At 37.2% G+C, this 27088-nt stretch overlaps 1 protein-coding gene across 25 annotated transcripts in view; it reads right to left on the reverse strand.

Annotated features, from left to right (window-relative positions):
* The window catches only part of PDE1A (phosphodiesterase 1A), a 576757-nt gene that overhangs the window by 89645 nt on the left and 460024 nt on the right, over positions 1–27088 (reverse strand). For 22 of the 25 annotated variants that reach the window (XR_007076388.1, XM_047444688.1, NM_001395258.2 and 19 more), the window contains 4 exons: positions 10425–10607; positions 4747–4813; positions 1330–1446; positions 321–461 (listed from right to left, as the gene is read on the reverse strand). Coding sequence is in view for 24 of the 25 variants with exons in the window: in XM_047444688.1 (XP_047300644.1) it covers positions 321–461; positions 1330–1446; positions 4747–4813; positions 10425–10607 (508 nt within the window). In the remaining variant the exon portion in view is untranslated. Of the gene's footprint in view, positions 1–320; positions 462–1329; positions 1447–4746; positions 4814–10424; positions 10608–12116; positions 12362–27088 lie in introns of those variants that run through there. The other 3 variants (NM_001258314.3, XM_011511326.3, NM_001395269.1) reach the window with 1 other exon arrangement.

Raw genomic sequence — 27088 nt, forward strand, 5'->3', positions numbered from 1 at the left:
AAAGACTTTTTCTCTAGGTCACTTTTTTTGGTTGACTCCTGCAGAATAAAGGAATTTACAAACAAAAATGTTTGGTAGTCCAAATTTTGGGAAACTTTTTTTTTTTTTGCCTCTGGTTATCTTTTTTGCACTGACTTAAAGTATTTTTTGAAAAATGTGTATTATAACACATTAAGCTTCAAAAATCCAAACAATTATTCTTTATAATACTTATTACTTAGAATACCTCTATGGGCATTAAAGAGACAATAGAAACTTATAGGAATGGAAGTTTGGAATGCTTCCAAACTAACAAACCTCAGTTACAAAGACTGTCTTACCATGATACCTGTATGAAGCATTATGTAATGCACAGTTTGAGTGACATCAGCTGCATGAATCAAATTGTGATATGGATTTTTGTACTTGCTGTAACCAACTTCTAAAGCTTCTGCAAAGGTGATTAGGCAAGAAACAGGAATCTGTGGAAAGTAATAATTATAATTATATTTTGACCAAAAAAGTGGTACTAAATCAACCTGAGCACTGTTTGTCATGGAACATATTAGTGAGTCAGATGTGGACAGTAGTTTCTTTATGTCAAATGTTGATTGTTCTGAAAAACCACTTCATGAACATGTTAACTTTCATTCCCAAAAAGAAAGATTGTAACCCCCAAGTATTTGACTAGGACAGATTAAATAATAGCCTTACTTGTACTATAGGCTTGAAATTTTAGTATCTTCCGGAGAGTAGGAAGGCTAATTCGTAGAAGGGTAAATATTTCCAGTTACAATTAGTGGAGTCTAGTTTTTCTATCTTAATACAAAGAGGTTAAAATAGATTATCTCTCAGTACTTTATAGCTCTAAAAATGTGATGATTCTACAGGAAATGATGAAAGTAATAAGCTACAATCTGCTCAGTAGTCTGTATCAAATCTATTGCTTGGATGGTTCTAAATGAAGTTAATTAGAAACCCCTTCATTCTAATTTAAGAAAAGCTGGCAATAAAGGTTCATTCTGTATTTTAGGAATGCTGGAGTAGTCATATTTCTTTAAGACATAGCTGCCAAACCCTATGTGAGTGTTTTGTGAATAAGTCAGGGGATATTGGCATCTTGCTGGAATGAGGCTATAGTGGCCTCATGATCTCTAGGTGGATATATAGATGTGTCAGTGACTTGTGGAGAATGGTTCTATCATATAAAGACCTCATCACCTTAATTCTGTGACCTGCTAACTAAAACATCCTAAAATGAATTGCTTAATTACTCAAATGTTCTGCATTTTCATTCTTACTCAAATAACCAATTCTAAGAGCATTTCACTTTTGTTCCATGTTTCTGACCTTGAAACGGTTGATAAGATCATATCTGGTAAACAGTTCATAAATCATAAACTTCAGACTATGCTCTCCACTTGCTTCATTTAGGGCAAATACATCGAAAGACCATTTATCAACATCCTGTAGAAAAAAGAATAAATACTTTAGGTGCCAATATCATACTGTTTCTACGAGAATTTATTCAAAAGATAAGGCATTGTACATTTAGCAGGTCATCTTTCAATTTAGCATGTCAAACTACACTTTGACCAGAGTTTCATAGGACAGGACCACTTAGTATCCATGGGTCCACAAAATTGAGGCCATAATGCTTTATAAAGCATCAAAACCTTTTCTTTAATCCCAAAGTTACTAAAGTGATTTAATACATTTGATAATACCATAATACTGCCATTATCTTTAATCTCTCTCCAACTTCCTGCCATAAATCATTTTCTCAGAGTGGACCTCAATTTAGGGTAGAATTGCTAGTTACATAGATGATGTCAATTGGGAAATACAGAAAAAATAGTCCCGGTTTTTCTTTCTTACTCACTTGCTACATTGCTTGAAATTTCACCATAAGAGTTTGCAGTTTGGCTAAAGTTTTGATATTTATGTCCTGTTTTAAGATGTAAATATCGGCCTGGTGTGGTGGCTCATGCCTGTAATCCCAGCACTTTGGGAGGCTGAAATGGGCCAATCACGAGGTCAGGAGTTCGAGGCCAGCCTGACCAACATAGTGAAACCCCATCTCTACAAAAAAATACAAAAATTAGCCAGGTGTGGTGGTGCACGCCTGTAATCCCAGCTAATCAGGAGGCTGAGGCAGGAGAATCGCTTGAACCCAGGAGGCAGAGGTTGCAGTGAGCCAAGATCGCACTACTGCACTCCAGCCTGGGTGACAGAGTGAGACTCCATCTCCAAAAAGAAAGAAAGAAAGATAGAAAAATATGTAAATATCATAGCGAGATAGAGTATACACTATCTTTAATTATTAAAAGGTATTTTTTACACTACTTTTCAACTATTATTATTTGCTCTATCTTTGGCTGATTTACTAATACTTTGCTTGAGGGACAAGTGGTGAGGAAAAGGAAGTGGGCCTTTTGATTGAGGAGGAGGATAGTAATACTCGCATTTCATGCAGTTCCCTAGGGAAGCAAGCAGGCCAGTAGGGAAACTGGAAAGTACCCCCTAACAGAGAGAGAGGAGAGTGAGCAGGGATATAAACCACTCCAGCCACCTCATGATTTTGCTTTGAAAATCTATAGAAGCACTGTAGTCCATTCTAATGGTTATCAGAAACTGCTAGCAGGAAGGCCTACTGTTTATACACATACAGTAGGTTTAGTATTGAACAGTAAGTGGGCAACCATAAAGCTATGCGTTAATTTTCTATTTGAGTAGGCACGTTTCAAATTTCATTCAACACATTTTTCTGGAGGCCAACTCTATGTGCTATAATATGCTAGAACCAAACTAAAAATCTGATAAAAAGTATTCAGTCTCTTTTAAAAATACTTCCTTCAAAAAATAATAGTAAGAGCTTCAAATGGTATTTTTAATCACTTGGAAACAAGCACCAATGAAACAGTTTTTGGTTTGCTTGTATGTCGTTATTAAATTCCTTGCATTTGGCCCTTATTTGATCCCCAAATGCTTGCTTTATCTCTTTATATATTAAAAGTTATTATAAGTTCTGTTAGAAGGCATTTTACATCAGTAAATCTCAAAGGAGGTCAATAAATCTTTTATCAAACTCCAAAGCTAACAAACAAGAGTTAGTTCAGACTCTTAGAAGGTTGCTATTTATATTTACAGTTCCAACTTGGGGGTTCCCACTGAGTAAAAGGTTAATTCTTTATTTCTTGAGAATTTTTTATAAACCCTGATGATTTACATTTCTAAACTACTGCAGATGCTTGGCTTTTATGTCATCAGATTGAGAACAAACAGGACAAGGAGGCTTCTCAGAAAATAAGAATTATTTAACTAAAACATTCTTTACTTGGTGATATTCCCTCTCTCAACCTGTTAGTTTATATCTTTTTTACTATACAACACTTTAGAAAAAATACTACATTCTCTCATACTAAAATATTTTGTTAGTTGGTTTTTAAGCAAAAATTCTTAAAATAAATAAAATAAAAATGAGTAATTTTCTTGCTCATTGTTAAGGAAATAATAGAGAAGGCAAAATCTCTCAAGAACCGAGGAATGATTAATATCCTTTAATGCAATGGTCCTCAATATTTTGGCACCAGGGACTAGTTGTGTGGAAGAAAATTTTTCTACAGACTGAGTTGGGGTTGGATGGTTTTGGAATGAAACTGTTCCACCTCATCAGCAGTGCACAACCCTCACACGCACATTTCACAATAGGGTTTGCGCTCCTATCAAAATCTAGTGTCCCCTCTGATCTGACAGGAGGCAGAGAAACATAAATATAAAAAAAGCACCAAAGAAAAATGAGCTATCTTTTAACATTAATGAGATTAAAATCTAATATGCAGCAGAGAAAAAACAATTGCAAAGAAGATGCTTAAAATTTTTAAAAACACAAATTTAAAATTAAAAAGGAGTACAATAAGTCAGAAATAAATCAACCCAGGATCTGCTGCTGCCAATATCCTTTAAATTCTTGGTTAATGTAGAAAAACCAATATGCAGATGTTTTAGGAGACAATGTTAAATTAAATTAGGCAATCGAAACAAGTTTAGAAGGATGAGCCTACAAAATGCCTCTGTAGAAATAACATTTAGAAACAAGGCACATGAACACCACACACACACACACACACACACACACACACACACACACAATGAGGCAAGTATGTGAGCCAATAACTTTACTCACTTCAGAGTTTCAACTCTGATTATTTCTAACATATGTAGCGCTGCAATTGGGCCTTAGAATAGTGTAGCCACAGGAGAAGCCAAAGACAAGAGAGAGAAGTGTTTTTTCTTTCTTAATTTTATCTTACATTTTGTATTTTTTCAGACCTACAATCCTAAATAATTTCCTTCTGTATGTTTTGTCATTTAAACATCATTGACTAAAATATCTTTTTATAACATGCATTTAACTCTTCCATAATATATTCATAACAAAATATGTACATTTTGACAAGTACTAGTGCCATTTCAAAATGAATTCAAGATCCACATAAATAAAATTAAGAAAAAAAACACACGTGTGTGTGCATACAAACATGCATATATATATGTTGATATAGTTTGTGTAAATCAGTCATTTGAATCTACAGTGAGTCATGATTTGGAACACAGTTCATTTTTTAAATTGTTAGGATATGTTGAATTTTTTAACGTTCTAAGATGTAGGCTGCAGTAAAGACCTATTCTCATTTTCTCATAGCCTTTTTAAGAGAATTTTTTAAAATGACCATTTTATACACGAAAATAATGAAATTATGTCACCTTTAATGTTACGATGACAGCTGCTGGATATGCCAAACCAACCATATGATATGTTTTTCGGTACATTCTAAAAAAGACAAAAATAAGTGTAAATATAAAATTCATTTATTCAAAGTTTTCAACTATTTCTTAAATATCAGGGAAAAGATTACTTTTGACATGTTCACCTCTTATCATTAGTTACAGACTCCCTTTGTGTCAATAATGATAACTATAGTCACCTTTTTACTAAACATCTACAATGTGACAATGTAATATATTCTCTATTCACAATCACCCTGCAAAATTAATGTGACTTTAGTTTCCATGTAAAGATATCCTTCCCTGAACTTGATCATATTAAAAGATGCACTACACTTTGCATATGCAACAACTTTCTAACATGCCACCATATCCCTGACAGCAGAACATTCTTGTTTTATGTCCATTTATATGCCAAAATTTTTAGTCTGGAAGCTAAATGTCATTAAAATATTTCCTTTATATTTTTATATTAAAATTATAGAGGGGGATATGTAGTATCATCAGAATTTACATAGGTCCCCCTTCTTTTATTTAATGATATTGGGGAAATCATACTAGCAAAAATTGTTTAAGTTTGTTCAAATTGTCATTCAATATTAAGAAAGTTATTCAGAAAGAAAACAATGTTATTTTCATTTCCATAATAGTATCAATAACAAAAGTGGTTTTTTGTTTTTGTTTTTGTTTTGTGTTTCTTTTTCTTTTTGAGACAGAGTCTCGCTCTGTTGCCCAAGCTGGAGTGCAGTGGTGTGATCTGTGCTCAATGCAAGCTCCGCCTCCCGGGTTCAAGTGATTCTCCTGCCTCAGCCTCCTGAGTAGCTGGGATTACAGGCATGCGCCACCATGCCCAACTAATTTTTGTATTTTCAGTAGAGACAGGGTTTCACCATGTTGGTCAGGCTGGTCTCAAACTCCTAACCTCGTGATCCGCCCACATTGGCCTCTCAAAGTACTGGAATTACAGGCATGAGCCACCACGCCCAGCCAACAAAACTGTTTTTAATAATCAGTGATTTGATTTTTTTCTATCTTCTGCTGGGCAACCCAAATAGCATAAACCAAATATAAGAACCCCCTCCATGAATTCATGTGAGAAAAGAATCAATATGATAGCCTAGCATGTGATATAGTAATAGTGCTTCTATTCGGGACTCTGAAAGAAACATGTTTCCTCCTCCAAGGCCTGGGAAGAAAGAATACAATTGAGATTAATCATGTCCCTTAATTTTTATATCAAGTTAGTCCACAACGAGCTGAATTTCTAGGCTACATGGCTGTAAATTCTCCCTACAAAAGGCCTGGACAATGCCATAGCTTAATTAAATATAACGATAAATATGGTCGATGTAAGAAATGGTCACATGGACAATATTCTACGTCTTTTATAAAACCGCTATAGAAGATACTAAATTTTTTGATTCAATGTTCCTTATGTTAAAAATGCATGGGACATATTACTCAGTTTCTATGTAAAAGCCATCATTTGTTAAAGATAATCAAAGCTAAGCAATTTATCATGTTTTCCTTTTAAGTCTTGACTAGTTGGAAGTTCAGAATGAAAATACTGTGTTTAATTACATCTCTAGCCTAGGCTTTCTTGATGAAGTAGCTCTCCATTTTATTCTAGAGACCTTAAGCACAACACTTTCATGCTTCCACTTTACGTTTATTTTAAATAGTCATAAATTATTTTTGGATGTGGGTGATTAGGTAGAATAAGAAATTATCCTATATCTCTATTGAAAGATTTTAGAACAGTTAAAACTAAAAATACTTATATTAATTACTCCATTGATATAGGTATAATTATTCTAATCTTGCAAAGCAAGGAAACTACTAATCATACTATACAAGATCTAGAATAATTACTATCAACAGTGATACTCAGGTGTTTTTTTTTTTTGGAAACAGTCTTTTCCATCTGTTTCTAGTCATTACTATTAATACTAAAAAAATGGAGGTGCAGGGGAAATGGAAGGATGATGAACAGGCAAAAGCGTCAATATAAAAATCATTCAGGATTAAGAAATTTTAAAATGTTAATTAACGTTAGCTCGACTTGACTTCATGGCACAGAAAGGCAAAGAGAACACATGCTTTGAATCACATGTTAGCCACTCACTGCTGTGTGACCTTTGGAAACTATTTAATGTCATTCATTTGTAAAATGAGAATAATTATAAGCTTTTTGTGTAAATGATTCTCAGTACAAGTAAGCCATCATTTTTATTATTATTTTAACTGTTCTCATTACTTTGCAGCCAATATCATTGGTTCAAAATCTTATGTCTTTAGAGCTCTCTGGCCTCAATGGGACCTCTGATGCTACTGAGTTTCTTAAACTTGGGATAGGTTGAGAAATGAATACCAATATACTTTCTCATTACATGGAATGTAAAGGAAGACAAAGAGGATTACCCTTCCAAAGAGATAGCAAAACTTTCCCATTATCATACTTTTCTAATTCTATAATCAGGAATAGAATTCTAGGATGGAAAATTAGAAATAGAACACTAAGATGGAAAATTAAGGTGACTCATCCTTGAATTAGAATGAGCATCGGAGATATCTTAACCCAGTTGTCTCACACTTTAGTAAACAGGTGATATATTACAAGTTTCTGAAAAATGATAGTGAATTTCCTGGGCTCCTAAAGGTGGTGAAAGTCTAACTGGAAATGTAGTGGATTATTTGTGGAAGTTTCCATAATAGTTACAAGATATAATTCAAAAACTCTTTAAAAATACTATTTTAAGGACGGGCGCAGTGACTCACGCCTGTAATCCCAGAACTTTGGGAGGCCGAGGCGGGTGAATCACCTGAGATCAGGAGTTCGAGACTAGCCTGGCCAACATGGGAAACCCTGTCTCTACTAAAAATACAAAAAACAATTAGCCGTGCGTGGTGGCATGCGCCTGTAATCCCAGCAGGAGAATCTCTTGAACTCGGGAGGCGGAGGTTGCAGTAAACGGAGATCAAGCCACTGCACTCCAGCCTGGGTGACAGAGCCAGACTCCGTCTCAAAGAAAAACAAAACAAACACACAAACAAAAAACAACACTATTTATACCAGGCACTCTGCAAGGCAACAGACTTATTTAGTGGAAGGCAAGGGAAATATTGTTGCTATTTCACAGGGCTTATTCCAGTGGTGAGGAGAAATGAAAAATAAGATACAATATATGATTACAAACAGGGATAAGTGCTAGGAGGTAAACCACTGGCTGGGGGCAGCAATAGTGAGGAACAGCATAGAGTGATCCGGGAAGACCTCTGGAACGGTAAAAGGGCCAGCCCGCCATGTTGAAGGGTGGGGAGAACCACTTCTGACAGAGAAAATAACAGGATGAATGGCTCCAAGGCAGGAAAGAGCTTAGAAATGTTCTTGAAATTGAAATCAGGCTGGTATAGGTGTTCAGTCAAGGATGAAGGTTGCAGTAGATGAGGCTAGAAAGCAGAAAGGGACCTAACCAGGCTCAAGTGAATTGGGAAACCTTCTGGTGGTTTGAAGCTTAAGAATGACAGGAACTAGGCTGGGCACGGTGGCTCACGCCTGTAATCCCAGCACTTCGGGAGGCCTAGGTGGGTGGATCACGAGGTCAGGAGATCAAGACCATTCTGGCTAACACGCTGAAACCCCGTCTCTACTAAAAATGCAAAAAAATTAGCCAGGCAGGGTTGCGGGTGCCTGTAGTCCCAGCTACTCGGGAGGCTGAGGCAGGAGAATCACTTGAACCCGGGAGGCGGAGCTTGCAGGGAGCCGAGATCGCGCCACTGCACCCCAACCTGGGTGACAGAGCCAGACTACGTCAAAAAAAAAAAAAAAAGAAAAAGAAAAAGAAAAGAATGACAGGAACTAATTTATATCCTAAAAACATCACTGTGGAATGGCTTGGTTGGGGTGGTCAAGTTAGGAGGAGAGGAGCCCAGTTAGAAAGTTACTGTCGTATTTCTGAAGGCAGATAGTGGAGGCTTAGATTGTGGTTGCAGGAGTGGAGATGAGGAAGTGAGTGGATTCAGAATGCATTTGGGTAAGTAATTGCCAGGGCTTGCCAGGGAATTGAATCTTGGGAGGAAGCGTTTAAAGGAAGAAGCAACAAGACTTCAAGTAGACTTTCAGCTGTCAGGATTGAAGATGATTACTTTTGAAAATTTCCAATAAACTTGTCCCACTATTTTTATGCACCTACTAGTGGGGATTCAACAGTGATTTAAAAAAGACTTTATTTCTATATGTTCTTAGCACATTGATTTCTTAAAGACTGCTTACTAATTTAGTTACCTGAAGAACAATTTTATACTTTTATAGGCTACTAAATGTGTTTTATGTAACATATGAAAAAATTGAAATTTAGCATATTCAGATATTTTATATATTATAACCTTCTCTTGAATGGAAATGGAAAATCAGTTGATCTTCCTCCACAGTTTACATTTTTTCCCAGTTTGCCAAGTTCTGTAATATTTTTTTAAACAAAGAAGACAAAATATACATTTCTTTAGCAAATCAAACATACTCTCATGTTTCATCTGTGATTCTCTCACAGATTTTCTGATGTACTATTTAGATATTTTTAATTTGATGCTAGAGAAAAGTCATCTTCTTTAAATTGCACAGTGTATTTAACCATCTTTAAGCTTTATATTTGTTGCCATGCATTCTCATTTACACTTTTAGAAATTCAAATGTGTTTTCCACTGTCCCTTTAGCAGAAAAAAATTCAAGTTTGTAATATTGATTAACGGTAATGCCTAGAGATATCAGAAGATGAGAAATAATGCAGTTTCTCTAAAATTTAATTTTAGGCATATTGGCAAAATTTTTCTCTGTTTCTCAACTTTATTAGTTTCTAAAATATTCAAATAATCATTCCACATATAATTTCATGTAATTATTTTTTAATCTAAGGGATTTCTGATAACTACTTTTCAATTCTGTCAAACATAAAATGTCTATTTTGGCGAGTCTTTTGTAGTTTTAGTTCTAGGAAATATCTTGTTTCCTAGATGGAAAAAATAAGCTGTATTCTTAAGGGCTGAAAGAATGTAAAATTGGGTCATATTAGCATGTGTTTCACATTGAAAACTCTGATGATATAACTAGGCGTTTCTAGGGGCCATCAAATATCCCTTGCTTCAGTGACAGAAATGTTGAAAAAAAAAAATAACCTATCAAAAGTGAGCATGAGAGAGATTTCCTCCATTATGGAAAGAAGGGAAGCAAATGGTCTTCTGTCTTTAGGGCAGAGGAAGGCCTAAGTGATCTTGACATGTAGATTGCTACCCAGTGTAGAATGTATTTCATGAAATGTTACATTTTATTCAGGTAAAATTAGTTGTGTAACATATACATGTGTCAGAATTGTTTTTAAACAGTTGTTCACAAAGGTTCATTTGAGGAGAAAGGTCATTCAAAAATCTTTGCTTTCAGTCTTCATGTCAACTTAAAATAAATAAAAAGAATGCATCCGGGACCAGGTGTTTTTGTTATAGGTAAGTTCATCATAAAGTCCCAAATTTGTTCATTCTAGTTATCATTATGATCACAGTTTTCGTCAATAAGTGAAATATAGACTGCTCATACCCTTGAAAAAATGAATGTATCTGCTGCCTTTCAAATGTTACTGTCTTGAGATACCAACAATTTCACTTACCTTTCCACAAAAATTCCAGCTTGAACAGCATGCACAATGCTCCGAAATTTTGGTTTTTCCTCAGGTTTCTTTTTTGTCATCCCCATTTTCCGTGTAAAGGTAGAAGCCAACCAGTCCCGGACTTCAGATGGGACTGAGTCAGTCTGAATGTCACTGAGCTCATCTTCAGTATCCAGAAGTCTTCTACAAAAATTTATACAGATTAAACTTTTTTATAAAAAAGTGAAGAAAAACATATAACAGAAAAACAAGGATTGCAATGGGATTTAAAATATAGCCAATCACTCTCTGATTATTCCTTAATATGTACTCTCTAAAGAAAGAAAAAAAATTCATTAACATTTGGAAAGCTCTTAATTTCTCAAATTGATCATATGAAGACAACAACGAATAGACTTGAGCATTTGCAGCTTCCCAAACATTTCAGCACAATGATACACCAGTCTAGAGGTACCGACTGTTAATATCTTTAGTGTGCTATTCTAATAATGAATAAAACTAAGGAAAGATAGGGAAGTGAATTCATAAACAGATGTCTGCTATTAAAGGAAGTAACTGGAGTGGGAAGAAAAAAGGGGGATTGAATCTATAATAGTTGTCATATACTTAATAATCTTGTGTGTATCTTAAGTATAGTACATGCTATTTGAATTAGGCTTTGCAATTTATAAAAGTCATTCACAGATGCTACTTCATTGGATAAGTACCTCTAAATTTTAGGAAAATAACCACTTAAGTGCTCCCAACGATATCCATTCTATCAATGTCACAGATTTTAAAAGTGAAAAAAAAAATGAAAACACATGATATCAAATAGATTATGTTTAAAGCGCATTTCAGGTGACCACGGGGTGGAGCTCTCATGGGTTTAGAGCTGCTGGCTGAGGAAATCAACCCAGTGAGTGAGGTAGTGAATAGGAACTGAAACAATGACCACGCTCTGTATAAGCTCCAGGTAGATAAAATTGACTGGACTGCTGAGTAATAACAGCTGCCATTAAAGAGGAAACTAAGGAAACATCGTTATTTTAAGGCCAGTCAGCTTCGGCAGTCAAGAACTTCCTAGAGGTCTGAACTGGCAACATCCCAGAGGCTCCCCACCAAATACAGAAACAGCTTACAGAACAGTTGAACTTTGCCTCTAGGAAGAACACAGGCCAGCTCTGCCTGCCATTTGACTTGGTTCTTTCCTTATCTGTGCACCAATCTAAAAACTCTGGCACATGTTAGCTTCAACCTTTGGGTTTCATCTGCTTTTGAAAATCTCTTTGCCCAGACCTAGGCCTAACGATTATGAGCTAATGTTGGAAGGTGGCCAGAGATGGTTGTACATGCTAATGCCTCAGAAACAAGGCAGGGGCCATCTCAAAAAGCAGGGACAAAACAAAGGACAAAAAACAGGAGGTCTCCACAAAGAACTCAATCTGACTAAAGAGAGGCTCAAAAGGTAATATGCAGGAGAGGAACTCTTCATGTTCCTTTAAATGACCTCTCACATATGCTGCTGTTTCCTATAAACCTGCAGAAAAGTCATTTGCCAATATTTATTTTCCATGGTATTAAATAAGCATGAATGTATTTATGAAATACCTTATAAAAAATAAACATAAGTTCTGGAGTCACAAAGATACGTGTATACATATAACGATAAAAAATATTTAGAGTTGAATGTTAATACTGATTAATACTTACTCTATATGATTTTTAACTTTCTTTCTGATCTGACATTTGGATGGTTTTGATTTACCCCTAAAACACTGAACTAGAAAATTAAAGCAAAATAGTTTGTTTATCTTTTTGCCCATTTGAAATTAGATTCCCTAGCCCATTTCAGCAAGTCACTAAACTTCATGGCTTGAAAATATCACTACTTTAAAGATAATGCCATTTCTACTATCTCTTATGCAGTGATCAGATACAGTGTAGGTAGAACAAGTGGAATAGGAATCATTGTGGTGTAATCTTGTGATGTCACCATGCTCCAAGCATTCCACTGCAGCCTAGTTTTGTCAGCTAATCTCCTTAGAATGACAGAAACCTGGCTGATGGTGCCAATTCCTCCACAGTAAATTTCATGTTGATGGCTTTAAGGCTATATGTCCTATACTCATAAATGATCCAAGAGAGCTCACCAAACATGACAAAACCAGCATATGGAAGGGATATTCCACATAGTAGAGTGGTACTTAGGAGGCTGGAAATCCTTAGTCGTGATGCATGAGGTCATCTACTGAGAAGAAAGTGCATATAATTTTAGGGAGAAATAATGATACGGATTAATTAGGGACACACAAATAAAGGACGACAGTGTGTTAAGGGAAGAGCATGGAATATGCTATTGTGTAACTTGAAAAGGGAATCTTGAAAAGGCAACAACTACCTCCGTGAGGTTTAATTTTATGTGTCACCATAGGTAGGTTATGGTGGCCAGTCGTTTGGTCAAACACCAATTTAAATGTCGCTGTGAAAGTATTTTTTAGATGTGATTAACATTTAAATCAGTAGACTTTGAATAAAGCAGATTACCCTCTAAATTATGGGTAAGCCTCATCTAATCAGTTGAAAACCTTAAGAAAGAAGATTAAGGTCCCCCAAAGAGAAAGGAATTCAGCTTCCAGAACGCCTTTGAAATCAAGACTGCAACAATGACTCCTGCCAGGGTTTCCAGCCTGCCAGTTTGCTTTGCAAATTTCAGACTTGCCAGCACCAATAATCACATGAGCCCATTCCTTAAAATACGTATCTCGCTCTCTCTCTCCTCTCTCCTCTCCTCCCTCTCTCTCTCTCTCCCTCTCTCTCTCTCTCTCTCTCTCTCTCGTGTGTGTATGTGTGTGTGTGTGTTGTGTAGCTGTTGGTTTGGATAAGAAATCATCTTTCCATCATTTATGAATGCTGCGTGATAACTACCAGTGTAGGTTATAAATAAAATAGAATATAAAGACTCAGTTCTCTATTAATATTCATTTAATAGAACATACCAGTCCTATTTCTCATGTAAAAATCCTATTTGCAATGAAATAAAATGCCTTTTTAGCAATTATAAATCTAAACACCATACTGTTTAAACATTACAGAATTATTGTCAAACTAAATGAAGTGATTAAAAATTGAAAAAATGAGAATGATCCCTTATCAGGTAGAACTTATATTTTAAAAGAAAGACTAAAAATAAAATAAGAATTATGATATAAGGTTAATTATGAGAGGAAACACTATGTTAGATAAGATGATCAGATAGTTAAGACCCGAACAATGAGGAAGTATTAGTTATAGGAAAGTCTGGGGGAAGTCTGTTCTATCTATTCCAGATAGAAAGAAGGGCAAGTACAAAGGCCCGAGGCATGATCAGTATTGGCATGTTTGAGGAACAGGAAGGAGGCCAAATGTGGCTGGAGTATACTGACTGAGAGAGAGAGTGACCCAAGTTGGGAGGCAAACATAGGTATAAGTAAGCTAATATCAGGCCTTGGAAGGATTCTGTCATATTTGCAATGGCAGGTCATTGAATTATTTTAAGCAGGATGTGATATGATTTATGTATCTAAAAGACCAATGTGCATGCTGTGAGAGGAATAGACAAAGTTGTAAGAATGGTGTTTTGAGTTTAGTTAGTTTAGTTAACTGAGCACAATTGCAAAAATGGTCTTTTATTTTGGAAGTTCACTACTTTTCAAAGACCGTAATTGGTATTGAGTTGGGTATCATTTTGTCCTATAAACATATGGCTCAAAGTCTTAATGGTATATTATTTTATTGACTTATTATTATTATTTTTGAGATGGAGTTTCGCTCTTGATGCCCAGGCTGGAGTGCAATGGTGCGATCTCGGCTCACCACAACCTCTGCCTCCCGGGTTCAAGCGATTCTCCTGCCTCAGCCTCCTGAGTAGCTGGGATTACAGGCACGTGCCACCACGCCTGGCTAATTTTGTATTTTTAGTAGAGACGGGGTTTCTCCATGTTGGTCAGGCTGGTCTCGAACTCCCGACCTCAGGTGATCCGCCCGCCTTGGCCTCCCAAAGTGCTGGGATTACAGGAGTGAGCCACAACGCCCGGCCTTAATGGTATATTATTAATGTTTTCTCAGACTATACATTTTTTTCTGTTCCATTTGTTTGGTTCTCTTCTTCAGGGAAATGGATTATGCCTATCAGAGATCTCTTTTATCTAGTTTCCATATCTATCATTTTTCCACTAAACTTTTTTTGAAAAATTAATGTCTTGATCTTATCCTGTTTTGTTTACCTTTTTCTTTTTTTAAAAAAACTTTAAAGTATTTTATTTGTCAAACACTCTACTGTGTTTTCAGTTATGTCTCTTTTAAGTTTTGTGGCTTATGGCTTGGCTGTCTCTACAGGGTAGCCTCATTTTCCTCCTCCATTTGCTGACTGAGTTATGTGTACCCATGTTTCACCTCCTTGTATTATCATATTATTTACCTCTTGAAACCTTTTTCTTTGTTTTAATTGTATTATTTTTTCTACAGAATTGATGATTTCATTAAGTTCTTGAGTTCATAGGATGAGCTCACAGATTTGTACATTCCTCTGGCATGGGTTCTTTGTCATGTGTTTTTCCCTATCTTTTCCACCTTTGTTCTTGTGGTATTTTTTTATATGGATTCCATGTTGGTTTCTTTTTGAAAATTGTTCATTCTTGTATGAGAGAACTTCTTTCCAAATCAGAAGGTTGAAGAGAGGGACCAGGAGAATGTGTACAGCAGAAAAGAAGTGAATCTGGGTATGAGTTCAGTTGTATGTCTCTGTGTGCAAGAACTGACTTAACTTTCTCTTCAGCTGACAGAAATAGTAGCTGCAGGTCTGTTTCTCAAAGATTTTTCTCTGCTCTACAGCCCAGTTACAACAATGGCCTTTGAGAGCTTCATCTGCCTATGCATGCATCTCTGCTACTCCAGTGTGTGAAATGGGGGAAGCCTCCAAAGCCAGCCAACTTAACTTGACCTTTTTATTCTCCTCAAGAAGTTTTTAATTTTTCCTTTTTGAATAAGCATGATTACCTAGAGAACTCTGTACTATGCTATCCCTGCCTGAAAGCCACAATCTCAGGCACCTTCTTCATTTAGACTTTATTTTTTAGGCTTACAGAAAAATCGAGTGTATAGTACAGAGAATTCCCATTCATCTCATCTCCACCCCCACCTTCACAGTTCCCATATTACTGACATCTGGTATTATTGTGGTACAGTTATTTCAGTTGATGAGCCAATGTTAATACATAATTATTAATTAACATCCATAGTTTCTATGAGGACTCACACTTTCTGTTGTACATTCTATGGGTTTTGATAAATGTATAATGACATATGTCTACCATTACAGTATCATACAGGGTAGTTCCACTGCCCTAAAAAAAATCCCTATACTTCATCTATTCAACCTTCCTTCCTTCCCTCACCTCTGGTCCCTGACAACCACTATCTTTTTGCTGTCTCCTTAGTTTGGCCTTTTCCAGACCATCAGATACTTAGTATCATATAGTAAAAGGCTAGACTTTTTAATATTGGCTTATTCCACTTGGTAATATGCATTTTTCTCCATGTCTTTTCATGGCTTGATAGCTAATTTCTTTATATTGCTAAATAATATTCTATTGTGTGCATAGATAGTCTATGCATTCTACTATTGAAGGACATCTTGATTGCTCCAAGGTTTGACAATTATGAATAAAGCTCCTATAAACAGGTACAGCTTTTTTCAACTCATTTGAGTAAATGCCAAGGAACACAATGGCTGGATGGTATCATAAGTGTTTAGTTTTGCAAAAACTGCTAAACTTTCTTGCTATACCATTTTGTATTCCCACCTGTAACGAATGAGCCAGAGGCCAAGCTGCCATCATCTCTTGCCTGGCCTCCTGTGCAGCCTGCTAACTGGCCTCCCCCTCTTGCTCCTGACCCCTGTCAGTCTCTTCTTCCCTCTACAGCCAGAATGCCTCTTTTAAAGTTTAAGTCAGACCACAATGCCTTATTCATAAAGCTCCACATAAGTCATCTCAAGCTAAGTCTCCAACCTCACCTTTTAACCAGTTCCCCTTTATTCATTTTGCTCCAGTGACACTAGCCTTGCTGGATGCAAAGCTGCCAAGCTTGCTTTTGCCTCAGGGCCTGTGTACTTGCTATTCACTCTACTTAGAATCTTGTACTCAGATATTTGTGTGAATCATTTCCTTACTGCATTTAGGTAGAGAGGGCATCCCTGTGCCTGCCCCCAATAGTAAGCATTTTTCATTTTTATTTTGTCTTTTTATTCTACTATAGTCTTTTTTCTTTTTTCTTTCTTTTTTTTTTTTTTTTTTGACAGAGTCTTGCTCCGTCGCTCAGGCTGTAGTGCAGTGGCATGATCTCGGCTCACTGCAGCCTCTGCCTCCCATGTTCAAGCGATTCTCCTGCCTCAGCCTCCCAAGTTGCTGGGATTACAGGCGTGCCACCACACCCAGCTAATTTTTTGTATTTTTAGTAGAGACAGGGTTGGGTTTCGCCATGTTGGCCAGGCTGGTCTCAAACTCTTGACCTCAAGTGATCTGCCTGCCTCAGCCTCCCAAAATGCTGGGATTGTATACAGGTGTGAGCCACCATGCCCAGCCTTACCCTGTTATAATCTTCTTAGCACTGACCACTACTAGATGCCATACCATATGTCCACTGGTTGGTTTGTTCATTTTATGCTTACAGTCTAGCAGCCTGGGCTGCAAAGACCTGGAGAGCAAAGAGTTGGCCTTCTGTTGTACACTGCTGTATCATCAGCTTCTAAAATCATGTGTGACACAGAGCAGGGGGTCAATATATATCCACTGAATGGCTATAAAGTGTCTAGAAATATTTACATTAGACTAATTGTAACTGATTACCTTCATGAGTGGAGTAAGGATGGAAATGGTAGAAGTTTTAATGTATACTCCTGTGCAATTTGATTGATATAATCAAATTTATTGCTGCTTATGCAGCAACAACATCTTGGGAGCAAATTCACTGCTGCCAATCATCTCCTTCATTGCCTTTAGATTAAGTTGTTCCTGAATAATCATGTTGCATATTATTGAAACAAATTGTGGGGAAACATATATATTTGGTGTAGAAAAAAAAAACTAAACATTTTTGATAGCATTTTAAAGTCACAGGAAAGAAAACTTAAAAAAAGTATGCATTGTTTATATGCCTTTAGCCAAGAAACTCAGTATTTCTGTCAAATATTAGCTCTTTTATGCTCATTTATCACATAGAGAAGAGTAAGAAACTTCTAATGAAGACATAAGTAAGTGTTCACAGGTTCATTAAGATGGTTATTCCAGTTTGGAGAGAAGAAAGTTGAAAAACAGGTAGATCAAACCTAAATTTGAATAAATTTTGAAAATAAACTAATAAACCTAAAGACATATTTCTCCCTACTCCCCTCCATTTACCTCTTCTTACTTATTCATTTTCCCTTTCCCTCGTACCCGCCTTGTACTCTGTGTCTTCTTCCGTCTGATCAACATGAGCAGCTCCTCAAGTTTCATCTGACCACGCTAGACAGTGCAGGAACAAAAACTATAATGTAATATGGACTAGTCATTGTCATCCTGTACTTTTTCACCGGCAGATAATTATTATAAAGAATTTTCCTATACATTTATCTAAGACATGAAAATATCTGAATACTTGTATAAGATTATGCCACATGTAAAACATATATTTTGTCCTCATTTCATTTTTGAAAGAAATTTGTGCAAGGAGGATGATAAAATAGGATCTCAACTATCATAGTTAATTTTGTTTTACAAACATCTAATAGCTTCATTGCTCTTTATTCTAATGTTAAAGGGCAGAGTGTGCATAATCATTTACATTGTAAATGCTTTTTAAAAATGAAGACTTTGTTTTTAAGAAACATACAACGTGAAAAAATGATGACTGGTACATTTTCCTTAGGAATTCTTAAAATGTGTCAAGACCAGCCTGGCCAACATGGTGAAACCTTTTCTCTACTACAGATACAAAAATTTAGCTGGGTGTGGTGGTGCATGCTTGCAATCTCAGCTACTGGGGAGGCTGAGACAGGAGAATCACTTGAACCCAGAACCAGAGGTTACAGTGAGCCAAGATCACACCACTGCACTCCAGCCTGGGCCACAAGAGCAAGACTGTCAAAAAAAAAAAAAAAAGAAAAAAGCAATTCTTAAAACGTGCTATACAGAAAAAGAAACGATAAGGAATATATGTGTAAAATGTTACCACTGTTTACCTCTGAAAAATGCTCCCACTGGTGTTTGATACTTTAGTTTTTGTCCCAGTGGAGTCAATAAAGCATAAAGTCAAGGGTTTCTAAACACGACCTGGGTGCAGATGGCAGCCGGTGAACTGTGAAAACTGACCCTGCATCCAATCTGTGACTCAACTAATCCTTCGGAGCTATTTATAATCATAATTTTCTCTTGAAATCAGATGACATAACTCCCAAAGGGCTTATATTTTGAACTAAAAAGTTTGCAGGGAAGGGAAGTAAAGAAGGAGGCGGCCACGGAAGGAGAGGTCATGGGATTTTGACTCTTACAATCATATGTCAGTGAAAATATTTCTGTCCACAGTGGACTCTTGGAAAATGATTACATTCATGTACTGATGTGGTTATTTCTGGGCAATTGGTACCCGCAATTACACCTTCTAAGTGCTAAAATTCAAGTGCTAGGTGCAGTTAGGAGATACTGGTTTCTCAAGTTTGAAATGTTCCTTTCCTGCTTTACTATTCTTATAAAGGACATGTTTCACGCAGCAACGAACTCATTCAGTTCTTTCCCCTAACATTTCATGGGCTCAGGGTAGGAGCATATTTCATCCAAATACCATTTAACTAAGTATTTTAAAGTTATATATCAGGTGACTAAACTGCTATATGTTCTATCCTTCTACCTTTTAATAAGTTTCATAAAAGACAGACAAGTTGGGTGAACTGAAAGTTCTCAGCTCCTTGTGTGACAGCGCTGGGCCAGCAACCTGCAGCTCCACTCTGCACCACAGGTGGAAACCTCAGCCCCCAAGTACAGTCTCCATCAACCTACCTAGCTTTGAAAGGAGCTGCTTCTTGGCCACTCCTTGGTTTGAAAGGGTACAAACACCAATAGCGTCCTGGGTCCCTTGAGAGGAAAGACCTAATAAGAAAGCCCAGTAAGATGTAGGAGACAGGCTTGGGGACCTTTGGGTAGAGAATGCTGGGGTCTTCTGCCCAAAATAAGGTAAAGGAACATACTGGGAAGAGCAGGGAATTCCAGGGTCCTACAGTATCTGGAGGGGGAAGAGGGCCATGAGCTTCAGGTTCTTCTTGGTCTTGCGGGGCAAACCATGGGGAGAGGAACACCAAAGAGAGCCCTTGTCAGGCCCCCTGAAGTGGGGAATCATGCCCTGGGAAGCAGCTTCACTGGCCTGGGGCTAAAGGTGGTACTGAACTCATATGTTGCGAATATCTTCCAGGACAGATGGAGGAATTAAGGGTGGTTCATCTTTCCATAGTAGGAATACTCTTGTTGGAGTAAGTGGTTTCCTCCTAGGAGAGTCCATTAGTATTATCTCTTTGATTAACCTATGTCTGCGTTCTGAGCTGCTTGTACCCTTCTTCACCCTTACCCCCCAACCCCCCCCCCAAAAAAAACAGAAAACAAACCAAAACTCTAAAGGTAACACCAATCCTTCACTCAGGCTTCAGAACTGTTTGAGGATCGATATAGATGATAATGCCAGCTGCTTTATTGCTTTCTTACTAAGAACCAGGCAAGAAACCAAGCTTTAGCTTATTTAATCCTCATAATACCACCATGAGAAAGATCTAATTATTATTGATACTTCTATTTTACTGATAAATAGACTGAGGCACAGATGTCTTGAGTGATTTGTGCAAAGTCATTCAACCAGGAGTGTCCATGTCACATTTTTTGGTCATGTATGTCTGGTTTCAGGGTCTGAGTTACTGATTGATAAGTTATCCTCCACTTTAAACGCATTTTTTTCATACTGAGTACCCAGACTGCCTTCACATTCGGTCAATGCTAATGCCAGTAATCATTTTCTCTATCTCCTCTCTGCCTTGAAACTTATGGTTAAAAAGAATTGATCTTAAAAAGTCTTAAAGGAGTTTGATCTGTCTTGATCTGTCAGGAAATCTTTAGTTGGAGGAAGCTTGAATTTAATTTCCAGTGCTAGTATGTTGAATTGTTTTCTCATAGAGAAATATATCTGGATGACAAAATTTCAGGACACTTTGAAGTACAATAAATTAAATGTCAGGATGGAAATAGGTAATACATTTGAAATGCCATATCTACTTGTCAGTAACCTACTTACTAAGTGCTAAATACATTTGAATTATTTCTTTCAGGCCACCACTGAAGCATGTTTATTTATTCCCTGTTTTGTTCCAAAAAGTATTTAAAATGGCAAGCTTACCAATTTATCTCAATAGCTTTTTTTTAAAAAAAAGTTTCCTGATAGATTTGTTCAATGTTCCTCTGGTATTGTTAGCCTCTCCTCGACCCAACTTTTTTTTTTAACTGTGAGAAGATGACCATTGTACATGAGTGACTATGAAGACTGAACTTTTGGGTGGAGAAGTCAGTTATGCCGACCTTAGCTCAATTCCCAAAAGGCAAATCTTGGCGTAAATGAGGTCAAGTAAGGATAATGTTGAAGTTAGATGTGGCTTTCTCCAAGGTAAGACCTACGGAGTGCTTGGTGCCTCCTCCATATCCAATCTAGGAAGCAAAGGTGGAGGCAGTGGAGGTCCTGTCCTCCAGGAGAGGCAGAAAGGACCCAAAGAATGTTGAGGGGAAGGGCCTGAGAAAGAGTCAAATTGCTTGGAGAGCTGGGATCAAGATTGTATTTTTGGAGTCATTTGGGGATGGAATTGGGATTAATGGGTGAGGCAGAAAACTGCCCAAAGCCTTGCTGATGACTCTTGGCTTCCCACCAGGAAATCCTCTTGGCTCAAAAACATTTTTGAAAATATTCCATTAGGCATAGAGCCTAATGCTCCACTGATTAACAAATTTTGATTAATAAGCATCCTGTGTAGTTAGAAAGACTGCCTCTGGAGTCAAACTCCTGGCTTCATCACCTATTGGCTGTGTAGTTTTGGAAGAAATATTTCATCCGCGTGAGACTTAGTTCCTTTATCAGTACAAAAAAAGGTTGGAATTGGGGCATTTTAGCACAAAGTTATCTCATTTACAACTTGGAACAACACTTGGGGCATAGTCTTGATAAGACCTTAAATTTCTAACCACCAAATTTCTAATGGTCTCTCTGTTTCTCTTTTTTTGTGTATGGTCTCATTGTGACATCATCTAGAAGAGTAGTTTCAAATTGTTGTCACTAGACCAGAAGAATTAGCATCACCTGGGAACTTGTTAGAAATGAAAGTTCCCATGCTGTAAGACCTATTGAATCAGAAAGTCTGGGAGTGAGGCCCAGCACCCTGGTTTAACAAGCCCTTCAGGTGATTTCAATGACTACTAAGGTTTGAGAACACTGTTCTCCTTCATTCACAGCTTGCCAATTAATGGAAGCTCTATACCAAGAAAATACGATTTACTTATTTTCTATGACATGTGCTGAATGGCACTGCTTATTTCCTTATGCACATTATTTCACCGTCAGTGATGAGGCATGTTGGTGAATTATATCGGGAGGAACAGTCAGAAGAGTCCCCATGAAAGTATTTTAATTAATGAATCTTTTATAATGATGTTACAAATGGGAATTATCTGTATGTTACTTGACTGAGAACTAAAAAAGTCAATTTTCAACAGACCATGGGTGGAGAATGTGTCCTTAGTAGAGCAGGGGTATATTTGGAAGACAAGAGTGTAAGGGGAGATAAGGAATATATTTCTTTCTACACCCATGAGGCCAAAATAGTAGGGATGATGACAACTGGGAGGTAACGGTAGCCAAACAGAATAGCAAAATAAGTATCAGTGTATATAGTGTGTCCTTCACAAATATTTGTTGAATAAATGAATAAAAGTATAGAAAACATAGGCATAGGGTCTCTGGTTTTAGGGATTTTTAAAATATTCAAGTATTTGCACTAGTTAGGTATTAGCCCAGATGAAGAATAAAGTCATTTTTATTTGCTTATTTTGATGCATATGTTGTATATGTCAATGTTTTTAGTCACATCCTGTTTAATGTAGAAAAAGATATTTTTCATGTGTAAAAATGTTTAAAAAAACAATTTAAAAAGTATTTTCTGTGATCCTGTAACTCTTTGTATATATGGTCAGCCATGAATTCACTCACTGACTCAAGTTGTAAATGACACACAATAACCTACCTGAAGGAGGGAAAAATCCATGTCCCATGGAAGGAAGAGAGACCCAGGAAAAGATAATAGAAGAATATGTGATAAGTCAGAGTAAAGTTTCCAGAGTAAAGTTTCCATTCCTGTGATTGTCCAAAGATACCCCAGATTAACGAAGAGTAGTCAGAAAGGAAGGCAGGAGAGATCTTGAGAAGGAACACTGGATCCTGCCTGACCTCTAATCCAAGACAAACTGTGAGAAGGGTGGGAGCATGCCCCAGATAAGTTTCCAGGATCCTGCAGCAGAAGCCAGCTGAATGCCCCACCCTATCCCCAGCCCCTACTCCTGGGTGGAGCCTGCAGGACGGCAAGGTCCCTGTGTGGAACTGACTAATGTGTGTCTACACAGATAGGCCTGAGACAGCCTCACAGATAATGGTGACTCCAGCTAGACTGATGGGGATGGAAATGAGATAAAAGAGATGGAGAGTAGACAGAAGAAAAATATATTGGGAAGTAGGCTATATAAATATAGTAAAGAATGTACAAACATCTTTGTATGTAGAAAAATGTAAGTCCCTCATTTCTAGTACTTGATACTTGCTCAAGAAACACCTATGTTGTTCGACTTTATGATGGGATCAGTGTTTTGAGGGTTACCTTGGAAACTTAACCTATTACCTCATTTCATGGGAAACTAGATTATGAATTATTAGTGGTTAACTTAGAAATCAAACATTTGCATTAGGATTTATTGTTAGGGTAAAGTGACTCCTGGGAAGGATTAGAGATGAAGAACATGAATTTGGAGCAAGTCCAACCTACCTGGCTGTAAGAATGCTGTCAATGACAGGTGACATCAAACCTAAATGAAAGTGGCTCAAATAATGTAGAAATTGATTGATTTCCTTAAAAACAGTTAAAAGTAAGTTGACTCCAGTAAGGGATTTTTTAAAATCAGGAAGTCAATGATATCACCAAGGACTAAGGTTTCCTTTGTCTTTCTACATGAACAACTTTAGTATTAGGTTTAGCTTTCTGCTTGAAGCAAGATGGCTGTATTCACTGTAAGTATCAGATGTAGATACACCACCCAGAAGCATGACACCCTTCCTATGAAGAGGAAACCTTCTGCCAACACCCCCCTTCATTCTGCCATTTATGCAATTCTCATTGGCCAGAATCATATCACATGTCCAAGCCTAAACTCACTGATTAGTGAACTGGAGAACAATAACTGGTTAATATCAGTTAGGAGTCATCCATCCTGAGCCTGGGGCTGATGTTGGTGTCCCCTGAATCACTTGGCCTTAAAAAAGGGAGTAAATAATTAGGGAAAAAATGGGCTCTGTTGGCTAGGAAAAAAGAGAAAAATAGATGTTTGATATATTCCATTTAAGTTTGAACTTGTCTCTGATGCTTAATAATTATATAATCCTAAGCAAGTCAATTACTTTCTTTATGCCTTAAATTTTTTAACTTTATAGTAGAAAGAATATAAGTATCTAATTTATAGGCATTTTTGAGAATTATATGAAATCATATATGCAAATTGAATAATATGTTGCCTTGGATGTAACTGTCAAATGATTTTCATTATTATTATTATTGGAAAAGAATAATATTTAAAACATCTTTTTAAAATGCAGCAAATATTCATTTATATTACACTGAATCAAAACATCACTAATAGTCAGATCTTATTCAACACATAGAGCTTTTTTGTTAGTCATTTCTCAAAAGATCTGGTCAGGTTTTTTTCCCCCTTTTCAGGAGTGAGGCTGTTTTTGAAAGTTTGTAGAAAGTAACACACCACAGATGGACAGAAAATAGGAAAACCAACCAAAAAGTACTGCAACTTTTTCTAAGTGATTTTCACACTCCACCTACAGGGTGAGAACAGCCTACAAACACAACACTCCAAACAGCCACCCCTCCCCACAACTCACACCACAAAAATGGAATTCAGAAAAATCATTACTTGATTTTTAATGATTCACTGAGTTCCAGCAACGTCTTAGCACATTTTCCTCAAACTGATTTCCTCAGGGACTTTTCCAAATGGAAATAATTTGAAGAATACAAGAGCCCATACTTATAAATGCTAAGCAAATGATAAGCAGTTTCCTCCTGTCACCCTCCTGGTAGTCAGAGTAATTGAGTCATGAGCAAGTCTTTACAGGGGGACTTTGGAACCATGGATAAAATCACACAATTCCAGAACAAAAAGGGACTGGAGACTTTATCTTCCACGTGAAAAAAACAATGATTAGAGACTAATCATTAGTAGGAGCAAAGCCAAGAAAGGAGTTGCTGAACTGCCAATCAAGGGCTTTCCACCACATCCCACACAAACCCCGATCCAGGTCCCCTGCTTGTGACACTAACAGAAACATTTTAGTTTTCACTGCAGAGACAACACAGTTGTGGTTTGAGAAAGCACTTTCCTCCATTCTCAGTTCTTAAGCGTATGACTTAAATAGAGTTGACCACCTATCTTTCTCATGGGATGCTTGACGACTGACCTTGTATATTCAACTCCCCTGGACACAATGACTGGTTGAGGGATAAATATGTTACCTAACTAGAGCCAATGAAACATAAGGATATGCTTATCGGATCCTATGGGAAAGAAAACTTTTCTCATTCCTGTTGGATTTGATGGTGTGAGGATGTGAAGCTTGGAAATACTGTCACCATCTTGCTACCAGATAAAACATCAAAAGAGCCATTCCAGAGCAAGCAAAACAGAGGTGGACCTGCTGACAGACATCATTTGTGCCCTAGATCAACCTGTGTTTATAGTCACCACTAGCCATCAATATTTTGGCCATGAAAGCCAATAAGTTAATCATTTGTTTGTTTAAACTGGCTTGGTTGGGTTTCCTATCACTTACAATTGAAATATTAATAAAAGCCGTTCATTAGCCCAATCTATTTCTCTTTTTCCTCTCTCTTATTCTGACTCTAAATGCCAAAGGAGCACACATGAGTGAGTGCCATCATGATGTGCAGGTTGTAGTGATTAAACATAAAGAGTTTGCCCTCCACATCATTCCCCAAGTTTAGCAGCTCATTATTCATACGTTAGCCATAACTCTTGCAGCGCATTTACCCATGCTAAGCAGCTGAGTTTAAAATGAAATACCAGTGAGTCTTTCGGATTTTACAATGCTACTCATGTTTTGCTTACTTGAAGACCCTTGGCTGTGCACTAGTTAACTCCAAGTTCATCTACACTTTTTCTTTTCTTTCTTTCTTTTCTTTTTTTTTTTTTTTTGAGACAGAGTCTTGCTCTGTCACCCAGGCTGGAGTGCAGTGGCATGGTCTCAGCTCACTGCAACCTCTGCCTCCTGAGTTCAAGCGATTCTCCTGCCTCACCCTCCCAAGTAGCTGGGACTACAGGTGTGCACTAGCGCACCTAGCTAATTTTTGTATTTTTAGTAGAGAGGGAGTTTCACCATATTGGCCAGGCTGGTCTTGAACTCCTGACCTTGTGATCTGCTGACCTAATGATCCACCCGCCTCGGCCTCCCAAAGTGCTGGGATTACATGCGTGAGCCACCGCACCTGGCCACATCAACATTTTCAACCAATGTTTGGCTATTTCTCTCTTCCTAGATAACTTCCCAAGGATGACTTCTTTTTTTTTTTTTTTTTTTTCTTGTTTATTTTTCTTTTATTTTTCTTTCTTTTTTTTTTATTATACTTTAAGTTTTAGGGTACATGTGCACATTGTGCAGGTTAGTTACATATGTATACATGTGCCATGCTGGTGCGCTGCACCCACTAACTCGTCATCTAGCATTAGGTATATCTCCCCATGCTATCCCTCCCCCCTCCCCCAACCCCACCACAGTCCCCAGAGTGTGATATTCCCCTTCCTGTGTCCATGTGATCTCATTGTTCAATTCCCACCTATGAGTGAGAATATGCGGTGTTTGGTTTTTTGTTCTTGCGATAGTTTACTGAGAATGATGGTTTCCAATTTCATCCATGTCCCTACAAAGGACATGAACTCATCATTTTTTATGGCTGCATAGTATAAGTCAGTGTGGCGATTCCTCAGGGATCTAGAACTAGAAATACCATTTGACCCAGCCATCCCATTACTGGGTATATATCCAAAGGACTATAAATCATGCTGCTATAAAGACACATGCACACGTATGTTTATTGTGGCATTATTCACAATAGCAAAGACTTGGAACCAACCCAAATGTCCAGCAATGATAGACTGGATTAAGAAAATGTGGCACATATACACCATGGAATACTATGCAGCCATAAAAGGATGACTTCTTGACCTAATCTTTCTAGGAAGCATTTTTTTTTCTTGTCATGCTAAATACGTTTTTTAAACTTTTCGTTTCTGGGC

This window comes from Homo sapiens, chromosome 2 (assembly GCF_000001405.40).
Source record: "Homo sapiens chromosome 2, GRCh38.p14 Primary Assembly".
Lineage (NCBI taxonomy): Eukaryota > Metazoa > Chordata > Mammalia > Primates > Hominidae > Homo > Homo sapiens.